Source organism: Homo sapiens, chromosome 6 (assembly GCF_000001405.40).
Source record: "Homo sapiens chromosome 6, GRCh38.p14 Primary Assembly".
NCBI classification, from domain to species: Eukaryota; Metazoa; Chordata; class Mammalia; order Primates; family Hominidae; genus Homo; species Homo sapiens.
In genome coordinates, this window is record NC_000006.12 from 36,519,340 (window position 1) to 36,535,613 (window position 16,274).

Genomic DNA, 16,274 nt, shown 5'->3' on the forward strand with positions numbered 1-16,274 from the left:
TGCTTGCTGCCCCACAGCCATGGCTAGGACCCAGTCACTACAAGACATTAATACAGTAGAAGGCAGCCTTCATCTGCCTGTCTCCCCTGGCTCCCATTAAGCTCCCTACCTACTGCAGGGAGCCAGAGAAAAGGAGAGGCACTACAATTACCACTTGTCACTCACCCTGGAGGACACAATGGTGCCCATAACATTTCCTGTTTGTCAAGGGGAAAGCTACCATGAGCACACCTTGCCTTTCTCTTGAGGCTGAAACAGTAGCAAGAAACCTCATGGTTTGAAAGTGGAGTTGGCTGAATATAGATTAAGGGAGGGAAGAGTCTGAGGTGCAATTTATACAAAAAGGTTCTCTTTCCCCTATTCCATAAATATTTAATAAGGTGGGGGGTGCTAGTTGCTATCCTGTGCCCTAAGAAAGCAGAAATAAAAGCCAGTTTTTTGTCCCATCAATAACTGTATACTGGCATCACAACTGAAGGTTTTCCTTTTGCACTGGAAGAGAAACATCAGAAGCTAGTTAGATGTCATGTCTTACCCTTTAAATTTTTCCAGGTAGCAAAAATTTCCACCACGTGGAGCAGAAAAATAACCTGAACTCTCAGTGGGTAGCTTTAATTCCTACCCAGTTTATTTAGTAAAAGCAAACAAAAAAACAATTTTGCCTCTGTACCTCTACTTTGTCAGCCCTACCCCAAAATGGTGATGAATTTGCACTGGTCTACTTCCATCTTTTATCTAGCACAAAACCAATGCATGCTTCTTCAAGATGGCTAAGCCAGGTAGAGTCTGTGGCCAGAGACTTTAACTGGCTCATAATGAGATCTGTTAAGTTGAGGAGTTGAGTTCTCAGCTAAGGTGAGCTAAACAATTTAAGTTAATGTACCATTTAATCCATAAGTTAATGCATCATTTAAAATGTTAATTCTAATAGTTTCTTTACTTTCATTTAGGAAAGTTTTAGAAAGTGATTTTGAAGGCACAATATTTGCGAAAAGGCTTTTTACACATTATGTCTGGATCATCCTCTGTTAGAAACCATGCGGGGCACCTGGTATACATAAAATTACTAACTGAAAATCATATGTACTTTGTTTTGCAGTATTACTCTGACAGTTAATATTTAATAAAAAGAGGTCTTAAGCCTTGGTTAAAACTGTAGGAAACATACCTTGCAAAAACAAAACTTACTCATGAGATGCAAACATACTAATTAATGCAGAAGCTTTATATTTTCCTTCTCAAGATTAACTGAAACTTTTTCAGTGCCTACACACCCATACCACACACTAATTTGTAGATAGTATGTAAGTAGGCCGGCCTACTATGAATTTTGAAAAAGGTTGGCGTTAGCATAAACTATAGTGTCTCAAGACTTACCGCCCAGGTATTTGATACTCCCAACTGAAATTCCTGGGAGTCTAAAGCTTCTCGGTAACACATGAAAATTTGAGAGAAAATAAAAATTCCAAATTTTGGGGTGGCATTTAAATGAAGACAGGGAAGACCAGTGATTATATCTCCTCTCAAGAGGTAGAAAGGATTGGATGTGGGGCCAATCTCCATCCCCCCTCTTTGGCCCTAAATTAGGAGTTCTCCTTGTCACAGGGTCTCCATGTTCCTATAACATCAAATCTTTTACAGGACATTTGCGGTCATCACCCACTGCAATCTTTTCTTAAGCAACCAGCTACATTAAACTAGATTTATAGAAAGTCTATTCTTGCTTTTTAAAATATACTTTCCAATATTTAAAACCTTATTTATTTTGCATAAGGCACTTTATAAATTGATTTGCAAACCAGGTTTTGGTTTTAGAAAGTATCCTTTATCATTAAAGGAGAATTTGCATTGTTCTGTCATTTGCATTGTATTTTTCAAATTCATTCAGAAATTAGAAGGCTGGTCTTTTTCAGGTACCGATGAGCTACCTAGAAGACTCAACTTTGGTTTAGGTAAACAGAATGAAGCATATAAAGACACATTTTAGATTATAAATTCCAAATTCTAATTCCTAGTCCTTAGTTATGAGATATATATACAATTTCTATTTCTCAGCATTTGGTAAGAAACACACTACCACACCACGTACGACCTCAAAAAAAAAAGGCTCTCACAATAAGGACATCTTGTGATCAATTGGAAGACACAAGTAAGAGCTGCTTTTGGAACAGATTTTCAATTTTTAAAAGATTGCATATAACCTACAGGCATTATTTGTGATTTTAAATATGAACTGCTTCTTTGTAGGGGGAAAAAGGTAGTATTATATATATAGTCATACATGACAGAGCTAAAGAAAACTGTAATAAAAATATATATTTCAATTAAACAAAAAGAAAAGTTTTAGGAGACAAAAATTAATAAGCTAAAAGCACTGCTACAACTGTGCTTTACCTGCTCTTTTTCAAGCATATCTGCTTTACGGAGTATTTTCATTGCATACACATGTCCCGTATCTTTCTTCTGAACAAGCCGTACCTAAAAAGTTATAAAAGAAATGCCAAGTCAAAAACTCGTACTACCAACCTAATGCTTTCATGTGTTATAGGATGCAATAATTAACTGAAAAAGTATTACAATTTTAACATGAGCAACTAGTAATAACAAAGCAGAAGAAAATGCTTTTCAGTGTTCCAAAATGAATACATTACACACAGTAAAGTCGATGCTGGAAACATCCTCAAATACCTCTACATCTGAACAGCTTTGGTTCCTTAGTTGAACAAGCCAATCTAATTTAAAACCTTCAATTTCAAATTTAAGGACTCGTTACACCTCTGACACATGTCATCCAGTCAGCTCAGAAAATCTAAGTAAATGATTACAATGATGTTTAATTAAAACAAAAGTAGCTGTGCATGGTGGTGTATACCTGTAGTCCCAGCTATTTGGGAGGTTGAGGTAGGAGGATCGCTTGAGCTCAGGAGTTATGAGCTATGGTGCATTATGCTGATCAGGTGTCTGAACTAAGTTCAGCATAATATGGTGACCTCCCAGGAGCAGGGTGGCAGAGGGGGGGCCCACCAGGTTGCCTAAGGAAGGGCAAACAGGCCCAGTTCAGAAATGGAGCAGGTCAAAACTCCCATGCCAATCAGTAGTGAGATCGTGCCTGTAAACAGCCACTGCACTCCAGCCTGGGCAACACAGTGAAACCTTGTCACTTAATCATAATAATAATAACAAAGTAAAACTTCATGCTTAGGAAAAACGTCTGGAAAGAAAAACAAAAAATTCAGGCCAGGCGCGGTAGCTCACACCTATAATCTCAGCACTTTGGAAGGCCGAAGCAGGTGGATCACCTGAGGTCCAGGAGTTCGAGACCAGCCTGGCCAACCTGGTGAAACCCCGTCTACTAAAAATACGAAAATTAGCTGGGTGTGGTGGCAGGTGCCTGTAATCCCAGTTATTCGGGAGGCTAAGGCAGTAGAATCACTTGAACCCGAGAGGCGGAGGTTGCAGTGAGCCAAGATCAAGCCATTGCACTCCAGCCTGGGCAACAGAGCAAGACTCTGTCTCAAAAAAAAAAAAAAAAAAAAAAAGAAGAAGAAGAAAATTCAAAATGTGTAATTAGGGAAATTGTGTTTTATGTAGTTTTCCTTCTCTTTTATGTTTTCCAATGTTCTTAAAGAAAACAGATAATTTTATGAAGAAAATTTACAACCAAAAGAAAAATTTCACTGCAAGTTCCTGCATGTCCTCCCCTCTTCTCCCAAAATAAGTAGGTTTTCTTCTCCCTGAACCTTTCTTCATGTTTTTCCTAATTGAGTACCACAACCCTTCCTTGCCAAACAGAAAGCTCTTTCAGAGGTGGTACTATACTTTTCCCTCTTTCAAGAAGCCAATAGGAATTCTGAACACTGAGGGATCAATCTATCACCTGTGCCTCTGAATACTATTCACATTTCCCCGGGGTACCAGGTTTTTTGTTTTTTTTTTTTTTTGAGATGGAGTCTTGCTCTGTCACCCAGGCTGGAGTGCAATGGTGCAATCTCGGCTCACTGCAACCTCTGCCTCCTGGGTTCAAGCAATTCTCCTGCCTCAGCCTCCTGAGTAGCTGGGATTACAGGCACGTGCCACCACACCCGGCTAATTTTTCTATTTTTAGTAGAGACAAGGTTTCACCATGTTGTCAGGCTGGTCTCGAACTCCTGACCTTGTGATCCGCCCGCCTTGGCCTCCCAAAGTGCTGAGATTACAGGAGTGAGCCACCGTGCCTGGCCCCGGGGTACCAGGTTTTAATAATATACTGCTCCTTTTATACTTGCAATTATTGCGTCAGTAGGTCATCCAGTTTGGGCATTTTTCATTAACAGGAATGACCTTGCATGGGCTCTTTCAAGCTCTCCCCAACAGATTGCTCTTGTGCCCAAGCAGGATCATTTCCAAGAATTGCGGGGACAAAGTCGCAAATGCTTTCAACTCTCCACCACTACCTATATAACTCCTTTCTGTAAATCCTCCCTCCTAGGGTCATCTTTTTAGAGCTGTATCAATCTGGTGGGGAGAAATAAAGGGTGGAGATACACTATTAGTTTCCTTCTCGAGAGGCAGTGCAGTACTGGGAAAAGCAAGCTCTTTGAGTTCAGGAAGTAGAGCCCAACTTTTGGTCCCAGTACTCAATGGCTGTGTGATAACAAGAGACATTATATATACCTTTAGAGTCTTAATTTCACCATCTATAAAATGGGTTACTGTCCTGATTATGGGAAAAAAGCAGCCTGTAAATAATAAATGTTGATTTCCTTCTACCTTTCAACTCTCCCCCTAAGTCAATATTTAAACACCAACACCATCTCTGGCAAAACAGAGAACAGAGATCTGGGACTGCGGAGAGAAGAAAAAGAGAAAGCAGACAGACAAAGCAATTAGGATGTGGGGCTGGCATGCCTGACTCATTTAATTCCATATATTTGTTATATCAACAATCATGACTTAATGGTATGTTAGAAGCTTTGAAGTTTTGCAATATTTTTCTACTTGACAAGTAGCTGTGATTTTTACCTCACCAAATGCTCCTCTGCCTATTACTTTTAAGGACTCAAAATCTTCCAATCCAAGTCTTGTTCTCTTCAAACGAAGAAACTCTGTTTCCTTCCGAGCATGTGCTGATCTCCGGAGTCGTTTCTAATATTTAAATAAAAAAGGGAGGAGACGGGAAGGAACTGAAATTCTGAAACTCTGTAACAAGTCATGTTTGTGACTTACCCAGCTAGAAAACAGGTCCAAGTGGACTAAGGATAATCTTTTCACATATGAAATCACCCCAGAAGGATCCTTAAGAGGTCACTTCTCCCTTTCCTGGCATTTAGACACAACATCCAAGCCACACTGAACAGATGGGTGCCTCCTCTGGGAACTCTGACTAACCTACTTCAGCAATCCACTATCCTAACATTTTTGGTGAAGGGAGGGATAAATAATCAACAATATTTTCCTTTATCCTGTTTAATATAAATTAAAAATGTGTTCTTATCTTTCCCTCTGGCTTAAACACTGTATACTCTAACTTTCTGTTATTTCTACAAGTATTGGGTATTTTTCACCACCGTCCTGGGTTCTGCAAGCCAGTCCTATTTTTGAAGGCATTTCCACTACCATTTCAGTTCCTTGCACAGTCCCTTGTTAACTATATTTTCTCCTACTGTATCTGTGGGCACTGGGTGGAAGGGCTGATTTGAGATGGATATTTTGCCTTAATAAAGATTTCAGGAACATGACACACCGGGGCCTGTCGGGGCATGGGGGGAAAGGGAGGGAGAGCATTAGGACAAATACCTCATGCATGCGGAGCTTAAAACCTAGATGACAGGTTGATAGGTGCAGCAAACCACTATGGCACATATATACCTATGTAATAAACCTGCATGTTCAGCACACGTATGTATCCCAGAAAAAGTAAAATAAATAAATATTTCAAAAATTTGCCCTACTCCTACGGAGACTTTTCAGTGAATTCTATAAAAATGCTACAACTTGCTCTTTTAAAATTTAATTTGATTTCATCCCTGCTTTCTCTTGGAATTCTAAATCTAGTTTACTATAACTGCATCTAGAGAAGCCTTCCTCTCCTAGGTACTTAATAATTAATCTGTCCCTCTGAATTAACACCCAAATCCGGAAGCACACTACCCCTCAAGTTCCTCTGTTATTGAGCCAAAACCCTTCTCATGTGTACCAAGGCTAACAACTCACTGGACAAGATACAACCTGCCACGCTGGGTTTTAAGGAAAACATTGCCAATATTAATTACCTCCTCATCTTTTAGGCCTTCTTCTTCCATCACCTTTTCTAACTTCTTTTGTCTAAAACAAACAAAAACAAAAGACATGAAATCACATCTGAATGATAACTTTCTGAAAATTCTGTAACTTAATACTGTAGTAGATTTTTAAAAATGACACAAACAGGTAAATCTCAAAATGTCTCATTAAAACAAAAAAAATTAAGTTACTAAGACAAGTAAAAAGATTTCCATCCTTTGTTAGGCCTACTTTTTTTTGGCGGGGGGAGGGGGGCAGGTTGCGAGGAGAGGAGACAGAGTTTTGTTCTGTCACCCAGGCTAGAATGCAGTGGCGCAATCTCAGCTCACTGAAATCTCCACCTCACAGGCTCAAGCAATCCCACCTCAGCCTCCCAAGTAGCTAGGACTACAGGCGCGTGCCACCATACCTGGCTAATTTTTAAATTTTTTGTAGAAATGAGGTCTCATTATATTGCCCAGGCTGGTCTCAAACTCCAGCCTGACCTTCCAAAGTGTTGCGATTACAGGTGTGAGCCACCATGCCCCGCCCTTAGGTCTACATTTTTTAAAAGACTGTCTAAGATGTTAATGCAACAAAGACTCTTGTTTCAAAAAAATGTCCTCTCTTGGTTTTGGGTGTTTTTTTTTTTTTTTTTTTCCAGTTATTTCCTCCTTACCAAACCACAAAACAGCTGGTATTTGATAAACTCTTATATCATGCTGTTTCTTTCCCTCTCTCTGACTGAAGTCTACTTCCTTTATTTCTGCATCTTCCTCCTCTTCCCTGCCATGAGGAAAGGGTAACAAACAACAAAGTTAAAAGCAGAATTTGGAAATTTAAGGGGAAAAAGTGATCAAAAAGGTGACTGGCACCACTATCAAAACTCCATATATCAGGCTGGGTGTGGTAGCTCACGCCTGTGATCCCAGCACTTTGGGAGGTGAGGCAGATGGGTCACTTGAGGTCAGGAGTCCAAGACCAGCCTGGCCAACATGGTGAAACCCCATCTCTACTAAAAATATAAAAATTAGGCCAGGTGCAGTGGCTCACGCCTGTAACCCCAACACTTTGGGAGGCCGAGGCGGGTGGATCACTTGATGTCAGGAGTTCGAGACCAGACTGGCCAACATGGTGAAACCTGGTCTGTACTAAAAATGCAAAAATTAGCCAGGCATGGTGGCATACCCTGTAATCCCAGCTACTTGGGAAGCTGAGACAGGAGAATCACTTGAACCCAGGAGGTGGAGGCTGCAGTGAGCAGAGATCACACCACTCACTGCACTCCAGCCTGGGTGACAGAGTGAGACCCTGTCTCAAAAAAAACAAAAAGGCCGGGCGTGGTGGCTCACGCCTGTAATCCCAGCACTTTGGGAGGCTGAGGAGGGTGGATCATAAATTCAGGAGTTCGAAACCAGCCTGGCCAACATAGTAAAACCCTGTCTCTACTAAAAATACAAAAATCAGCTAGGCGTGGTGGCGAGCGCCTGTAGTCCCAGCTACTCAGGAGGCTGAAGCAGAAGAATTGCCTGAACCTGGGAGGCAGAGGTTGCAGTGAGTCAAGATCACGCCACTGCATGCCAGCCTGGGTGACAGAGCAAGACTCCGTCTCAAAAAAAAAAAAAAAAATATATGTATATATATATATATTTATATGTATATACACATGTATACATATGTATATATGTACACATGTATACATATATACATATACACATATGTATATACGTATATATACACACATATATATACACACACATATATGTAATATATGTATATATATTAGTACACACACACACACACACATATATGTATATAAAAATTAGCTGGGCATAGTGACAGGTGCCTGTAATCCCAGTTACTTGGGAGGGGCTGAGGCACAAGAATCACTTGAACCTGGGAGGCAGAGGTTGCAGTGAGGCGAGAGCACACCAGTGCACTCCAGCTCAGATGTCGGAGTGAGACTCTGCCTCAAAGAAAAAAAAAACCTTCAGACATCAAACTTTTGGAATACTGAACTTTAGAAAGTACATGCAGTAATGTTTTTGATCTATAGTCTCATAAAACTAAAAGAAGCAAGTAAAACTTCCTTACAACCAATTCCACAGAACCTTCATTTATTCAGCACAATAAATGAAAGCACATGGGCTAGAATCTCTCCTCCACCACTCATCAGCATTCCAGATAAACAGGCAATGTGTACAAACAGAGCAAAGAAGGATAAGACTACAGTATGCTGGCCAGGTGCGGTGGCTCACGCCTGTAATCCCAGCACTTTGAGAGGCTGAGGCAGGCAGATCACGAGGTCAGGAGATCGAGACCATCCTGGCTAACACAGAGAAACCCCATCTCTACTAAAAATACAAAAAAAAAAAAAAAATTAGCCAGGTGTAGTGGCCGGCGCCTGTAGTCCCAGCTACTCGGGAGGCTGAGGCAGGAGAATGTTGTGAACCCAGGAGGCGGAGCTTGCAGTGAGCCGAGATCGCACCACTGCACTCTAGCCTCGGTAACAGAGCGAGACTCCATCTCAAAAAAAAAAAAAGAGTGTACAGTATGCTGCAGAAATAGCATGTAGTCCATTGTGGCTGACGCACACAGCACTACAAATGCCACACCAAGAAGGTTGGATCTCATTCTGTAGACAACTGAGTGCTAAAAGAGGCTTGTGTGCAAAGGAGTGATGTGATAAGATTTCTATTTTAGAATGGTAACCAGCAGTAATGAGGATCTGATGGACTGGCAGGGAAAGCAACTGAGAAAGAGGCTAGTTGAGAGTTATTGTAATGATTCAGATGTACAGTAAAGATCTGGAACTAGGGCAGGAAAACTAGAATGAAGTGAATAGAGCTATTGCAAATATGACCAACTGGCAATAGGAGTCAAGAGAAAAACCTTAGAATTTCCTGTCTAGAGGGATATGATGCCACTAATCAAGACAGGAAACAGAGAGAGGAACACGAACAGTTCTCCCAGTTCCCAGAATATTTTGGGATACATGTGCATCTATGCGTGCACATGTATTAGAGAGAAAAGGCTGTACTCTTAGTAGTTTCGGGAGTGTAAATTAATTCCATTGCAAGTGGTTAGGTAGTTGAAGCAGAGAAGAACAAGAAAAGTCAAAGCATAACATGCTAGGCAAAAGCTCTAAGAACACAGCTGTGGTCAGCTCTTTTTGTGCCTTGAGTACTAAACACCATCATACGTCCTGACTACACGTTTTTGAATGACTACATCAGAATGGGCTACCAGTCCAATGCACTATCCACTGTGTCACAAAAGTGGCTCCTTCTAATTATATTTTAAACCTAAATACAAACTAAGAGGTTTTCCACAGGTTTACTGAAGTGTAATTAAATTGGTTGCAGAATACCTGCCTGAGAGTGAAGTTAACTCCTTGAACACAATCAGATTATTTCATTAGAGAAAGTATCCAGAAAAAAAAAGCCTATCCATGATAACAATTAGGACCAGGTCCACAAAGACCTTGAGGACACCAAAAACAGCAAGGACAGCCTGAAATGAGACTTAAAAATGACATCCTCTGTGAGATGACATCAAAGGAATTACTGTTAACTTGGTTAGATTCATGGTGGCATTTGCATTATGCAAGAAAATGGCCATATTTTTGGAAATGCATACTTGACAGTATGTAGGATTAAAATGACAGATGTTTGGAATTTACCTTAAAACACAATAGCAAGAAAAAACAAAATGGGATAGATGAAGAAAATGTACCAAAGCCCTAAAATTATTAAATCTGAGGGATGAATATATTGAAACGGGGTCACTATATTATTCCACCTATGTTTAAAATTGTTCATAATGAAAAAGAATAGCAGGACTCTCCACACAGGCATGTTCTCTGGTAGCAGTGCCAGGTTAACTAACACTCCAGCCCTTGGTGGAGCCACTCTTCCCTTCAATTCCAATGTTCAAAACCAGAACCCTAGGAGAGAGACGAAGCCACTTTCACACTTAGAGGCCATATCCAGCCTCACCCCAGTGATGCCTTCCATGTGTTCCATTTAGTTGCGTGTGTGTTCATTTCTTATATGAGAGAGTGGTAAGTCCTTCTGAAGGCAGGGACTATATCTGAATTCCCTATGTCCACTAAGAATAGTGCTTTGTACACAGCTACTTTCTAAATGTATGCTGCTAAATTTTAAAAAGTCAGAATGTATAGCAATGTGCAGACACATTCATGACTACTACTTACAATTAGCCCCCTTTTCTAATCTAATTTAGGGTCCCCTCTTGGCATAGCCTGATTTGGAGGTAGCAGGGATGAGAGAATAGGGCTATTCCACCCTAATTGAAAACAGACAGTATTTTGGTGAGACACTGAAAACCAGGAAAAATAGTGTATTTAACAGAAATAGGGCCAGGCATGGTGGCTCACACCCGTAATCCCAGCACTTTGGGAGGCTGAGGCTCGCACACCGCCTGAGGCCAGGAGTTGGACACCAGCCTGGCCAACATGGTGAAACCCCATCTCTACTAAAAATACAAAAATTAGCCGGGCGTGGTGGCACGTGCCTGTAATCCCAGCTACTCAGGAGGCTGAGGCAGGAAAATCTCTGGAACCTGGGAGGCAGAGGTTGCAGTGAGCTGAGATCGTGCCACTGCACTCCAGCCTGGGTGACAGAGCGAGATTCTGTCAGAAAGAAAAGAGAAGAGAAGAGGAGCGACAGATCGAGATTCTGTCAGGAAGAGAAGAGGGGAGCGGAGGGGGAGGGGAAAGGGCTGTGATTACATCTCCATGATTAAAATTCAGAAAATGTCTAATAAATACTTTTTTTTTTGAGACAAGAGTCTTACTCTGTCACCCAGGCTGAAGTGCAGTGGTACTATCTCGGCTCACTGCAACCTCTGCCTCCCGGGTACAAGTGATTCTTCTGCCTCAGCCTCCCGGATAGCTGGGATTACAGGTGCCCACCACCACGCCCAGCTAATTTTTGTATTTTTAGGAGAGATGGGGTTTCACCATGTTGGCCAGTCTGGTCTCGAACTCCTGACCTCAAGTGATCCACCCACCTTGGCCTCTCAAAAAGTACAGGGATTACAGGCGTGAGCCACCACACCCGGCCTTTTTCCTTTTTTTCTTTTCTTTTCTTTTTTTTTTTTTTTGGAGACAAGAGTCTAGCTCTGTTACCCAGGCTGGAGTGCATGGCACAATCTCGGCTCACTGCAACCTCTGCTTCCCGGGTTCAGGTGATTCTTGTGCCTCAACCTCCCGAGTAGCTGGGATTACCGGCATATGCCACCATGTGTGGCTAATTTTTGTACTTTTAGTAGACACGGGGTTTCATCATGTTGCACAGGCTGGTCTTGAGCCCCTGACCTCAAGTGATCCACCCACCTCGGCCTCCCAAAGTGCTGGGATTACATGTGTGAGCCCCTGTACCCAGCCAGAAATACCCTAAAATTAACACTACACAGATTCTTTAAAATCTCAACAAATTACTTCAGTTCTACACTCTGGTTTGATATCTGGTCAGTGAAGAACATCAGGAGGTCTGGACTTACTCATTCTTGAGGCTTAAATAAAACTGACACTGGATCACTAATAATAATCACATATTTCTACTTAGTATTAGATAAGACCAAATGAGGAATTTCTCCAGTTAAGAAAACATAGATGAGAAAATCTAAGAGGAGTTGCAGAACATAGAAATTCTCAGTAAAATGTATGAAAGACTTTGTTTGATTTGGGAAGAAAAAAGCTTACCATTATTACCTATTAAATTAGGTGTTTATGGTTTTAATTAATCCACCTAACTAGTATTCATGAAGAAAAGAAACAACTGAAAATGTTTTGTAAAAAGAAATGCCGGTTTCTTCAGATTTGATTTCAAACTGCTATGAATTATCTAAAACATTGTTTTTTAATGAAAAAGTAGACAACTGTCAATACCTACTAGGTACCTAGGATCACATACAGAGAGAATACAAAGAGAGCTGCTGCTCCTAGAGAAGGTCACAACCAAAGCTGCCATTGAAGGCAAAACACAGACTGAAGGAATAGAGCAGATGCACTTGCCCTATTGAGTGCTTATGATCTAACAGTGGTATTAACAGGAGACCATCAGGTGGCATTCTGCAGCACTGTGTGATGGACACTAGATTCAGGGGGTTTAATTATTTTTAAACCAATCTGTAGAAGCTACTATATTGTTTCTATGAAACTGCTCAAAATTATCATATTTTATGTTTACACAGGAAACAATTCCCAAATGAATTTTATTCTTTCTTCTATCTCTGGGCTTTGGACACGTATGGCCTTGCAGTAAGCCCTTTGTTTCAACTATAAACTAGTGTTCTTTATGATGGAACAGGGAAAGAGTTGCATAGCAATGCTAGGAATAACAGATATTTTAAAGGTACCTAGACAAGACACAAAATAAAAAAAATGAAAATTTGTATTACAACTTGGTCTCAAAATTTACTAGCCCAATACTTATTATTTCAAACCTCCATCATATATTATCTCTTCATTATCAATTATCTCATATCATCAAAACTGTTTATTTATCAAGGTCCTGCAATGTGTCCCTCCAGAACATCAAAAAGGTTGCAAACTCAGGCCAGGCAATCATGGCTCATGCTTGTAATCCCAACACTCTGGGAGGCTAAGGATGGCTTGAGCCCAGGAGTTTGAGGCGGCAGTGAGCGAGCCATGATCACATCACTGCACTCCAGCCTGGGTGACACAGTGAGACCTTGTCTGCATAAAAAAAAAAAAAAAAAAAGGTTTTAAACCTTGTTTCTCACAATCCAACTTAGTTTACTTCTGAGGTAACTCTTGTCAATCACTTTTTAAAAAATTTTCTAGGAACAATAAAGCCTGAAAGTCTTATTGAGCTGTATCAGTAAATCCAAAACCTACTAGCAGCTCATACAAAAAAGAGGGTACTAGCCGGATGTGATGGCTCACACCTGTAATCCCAGCACTTTGGGAGGCCAAGGCGGGTGGATCACTTGAGGTCAGGAACTCAAGACCAGCCTGGCCAACGTGGTGAAACCCCATCTATACTAAAAATACAAAAATTAGGCCAAGCACAGTGGCTCACACACTCTGGGAAGCTGAGGCGGGCAGATCACCTCAGGTCAGGAATTCAAGACCAGACTGGCCAACATGGTGAAACCCCGCTTCTACTAAAAATACAAAAATTAGCCAGGCATGGTAGTCCATGTCTGCAATCTCAGCTACATGGGAGGCTAAGGCAGGAGAATCACTTGAACCCGGGAGGCAGCAACTGCAGTGAGCCGAGATTATGCCATTGCACTCTAGCCTGGGCAAAAGAGCAAAACTCCGTCTCAAAAACAAAATGAAAATACAAAAATTAGCCCGACATGGTGGCGTGCTCCTGTAATCCCAGCTACTCGGGAGGCTGAGGCAGGAGAATTGCTTGAACCCAGGAGGTTGCAGTGAGCCAAGATGGCGCCACTGCCCTCCAGCCTGTGCAACAGAGTGAGACTCCATCTCAAAAAAAAAAAAAAAAAGGGGTACACAACAAAAAAAGATCTACAAGGATATATTAATTCTGAAAGGCTGAAAGTACTAGTGCATTGTTGTTTTTCTTAAAGAGATGGCGTCTTGTTCAGTTGCCCAAGCTGGAGTGCAGTGGCACAATCATAGCTCACTGCAGCCTCAAACTCCTGAGCTCAAGAGATCCTCCCACCTCAGCCTTCTGAGTAGTTAGAACTACAGGTGCACACCACCACACGTGGCTTACTGTTCTTTAATGAAAAATAATGGCAATTTGATAAGCAACCAAAAACAAACATTCTAACCCTCTTAAATATCTAACATTCTCTTCTGTCTTTTGATTAATTTGGTCTTTCAAAAAAAGCAAAACCACCAATGCTGTATTTTTAAAATTTTGTTTATTTTTATATAACCCTCACTGCTTCTGGAACCACTGAAACTTTTAGAAGGCTTTTCTATCTTAAGAATCCAAAGAATGCAAAGCACTGCTGTCTGCTCATTTTGGGGTATAATCTTAGTGTTAATCACAATGTATCATTTATTAATAATGTAAATAAAACCATACATCATCTTGTTCCTGCAGAACGTGATACATACCAACAATAAACCATAGCTAGGGCAGAACCAGTAGGATAAAACCCAGAGGACTACTACTAAACAAGTGGCTAAATCAAAACTCATAACCATTTGCTTTATAATTACAACCCCAGTAGCTATGATTTCAAGAAGTGACTGTATTTGAAATAACTGTCTCCACAGGTTTCACCTGCCTAAAGATATTCTGAACAGATTTACGTTTGAATTCCCCATGATCCTAACACGGGACACTGTGCAGACACTTGTTTACTCCAGTGAACAGCAGCTAGCCACCACCAAGCATAAAAAATTTGACTATTCCACATACAGAACTGCATATTTAAGGTCAAATTATATATCCCATGTAAATTATCACTTACACCCTCATGAAGAACAGGATTGCAAAGATCCTTATCAAAATATTAGCATATCAACCCAGCAACATAAAGGAGATAATACAATGTCATCAAGAGGGTTTTACCCCTGAAACGTAAAGTTAGTCTAACATTCAAAAATCAGTCCATGTAACTCACCATATTAAAAGAATAAAGGAGAAAAACAATATGACCATTATGGAGATGATGAAAAAGCATTTGAAAAAAATTCAACACCCACAAAAAAAATCAAAACAAATGACAAAAATAAAAAATAATAATAAAAAGAAAAAATTCAACACCTACTCATGATAAAAATTCTTAGCTCCTCAGCCAAATTGGAACATAGGCTGAGTGCAGTGGCTCACACTTGTAATCCCAAAACTTTGTGAGGCTGAAGCAGGAGGACTGCCTGAGGCCAAGAGTTCAAGATAAGCCTAGTCAACATAGTGATATCCTGTCTCTACAAAAAGGTAAAAAAAAAATTAGCCAGGTGTGGTGGCACATACCTATATTCCCAGCTACTCGTAAGGCTGAGGTGGGAAAATCACTCGAGCCCAGGAGGTCAAGGCTGCAGTGAGCCATGATTGTGCCACCTCACTCCAACCTGGGTTAAAGCAAGACCCTGTCTCTAAAAAAAAACAATAAAAAAATTTTTTAACCCAAATTAGAACATAAGGAAACTGCCTCAACCTATAAAGGGCATCTTTAGTAAAACAGTGAGCACGTTTGCTCTTAAATCAAGAAGAAAACAAAGATATCCACTCCCACTACTTCTATTCAACATTTTATGGAATTCCCAGCTAGTGCACTAAGGCAAGGAAAAAAAAAAAAAAGGTGAATAGATTGAAAAGGAAGTAAAACTGTCTCTACCTGAATATCACAAGATTGTTTACATAGAAAATCCTAAATATGCAAATTAAAAAAAAATCTAGACTAATTAGAAAGTTACAGAATACAAGATCAATATACAAAATTCAGTTATATGTCTATATATTAGCAGCAAACAACTGGACAGTGAAATTCTAAATAGCATCCAGAAAACCCCCAAATATTAGAAATAGATTAACAAGACATGTAAGATGCACACACTAAAAATTATGAAAACACTGTTGAGAAAAACTAAAGAAGACCTTAAAAATGGAGACATGGGCCAGGTGCAGTAGCTCATGCCTGTAATCCCAGCACTTTGGGAGGAGGCGGGTGGATCACCTGAGGTCAGGAGTTCGAGACCAGCCTGCCCAACATGGTGAAACCCCGTCTCTATTAAAAATACAAAAAATTAGCCACGGTGGTGGCAGGTGCCTGTAGTCCCAGCTACTTAGGAGGCTGGAGCAGGAGAATTGCTTGAACATGGGAGGCGGAGGTTGTAGTGACCTGAGATCACACCGTTGCACTCCAGCCTGGGCAGCAATAGCAAAACTCCGTCTCAAACACACAAACAAACAAGCAAGCAAACAAACAACAAGAAAAACAGAGATCTGCAATGTCCATGTAACAGAAGACTCAATATTGTTAAGATGTCGATTCTCCACGAACTGATCTACAGAGTCAATATAATTCCAATAGTAATTCCAGGCCGGGTGCAGTGGCTC

The 16,274-nt window shown here is 40.7% G+C and overlaps 1 protein-coding gene and 1 pseudogene across 9 annotated transcripts in view; one reads left to right on the forward strand and one right to left on the reverse strand.

Moving 5' to 3' along the window:
* Nucleotides 1-16,274, reverse strand: part of STK38 (serine/threonine kinase 38) — a 53,588-nt gene that overhangs the window by 25,448 nt on the left and 11,866 nt on the right. For all 9 annotated transcript variants that reach the window (XM_017010226.2, NM_001305102.2, XM_047418142.1 and 6 more), the window contains 3 exons: nt 6,252-6,303; nt 5,002-5,124; nt 2,395-2,478 (listed from right to left, as the gene is read on the reverse strand). In XM_017010226.2, coding sequence (XP_016865715.1) covers nt 2,395-2,478; nt 5,002-5,124; nt 6,252-6,303 — 259 coding nt within the window. The remainder of the gene's footprint in view (nt 1-2,394; nt 2,479-5,001; nt 5,125-6,251; nt 6,304-16,274) is intronic.
* RN7SL748P (RNA, 7SL, cytoplasmic 748, pseudogene) lies at nt 2,852-3,162 on the forward strand (annotated as a pseudogene).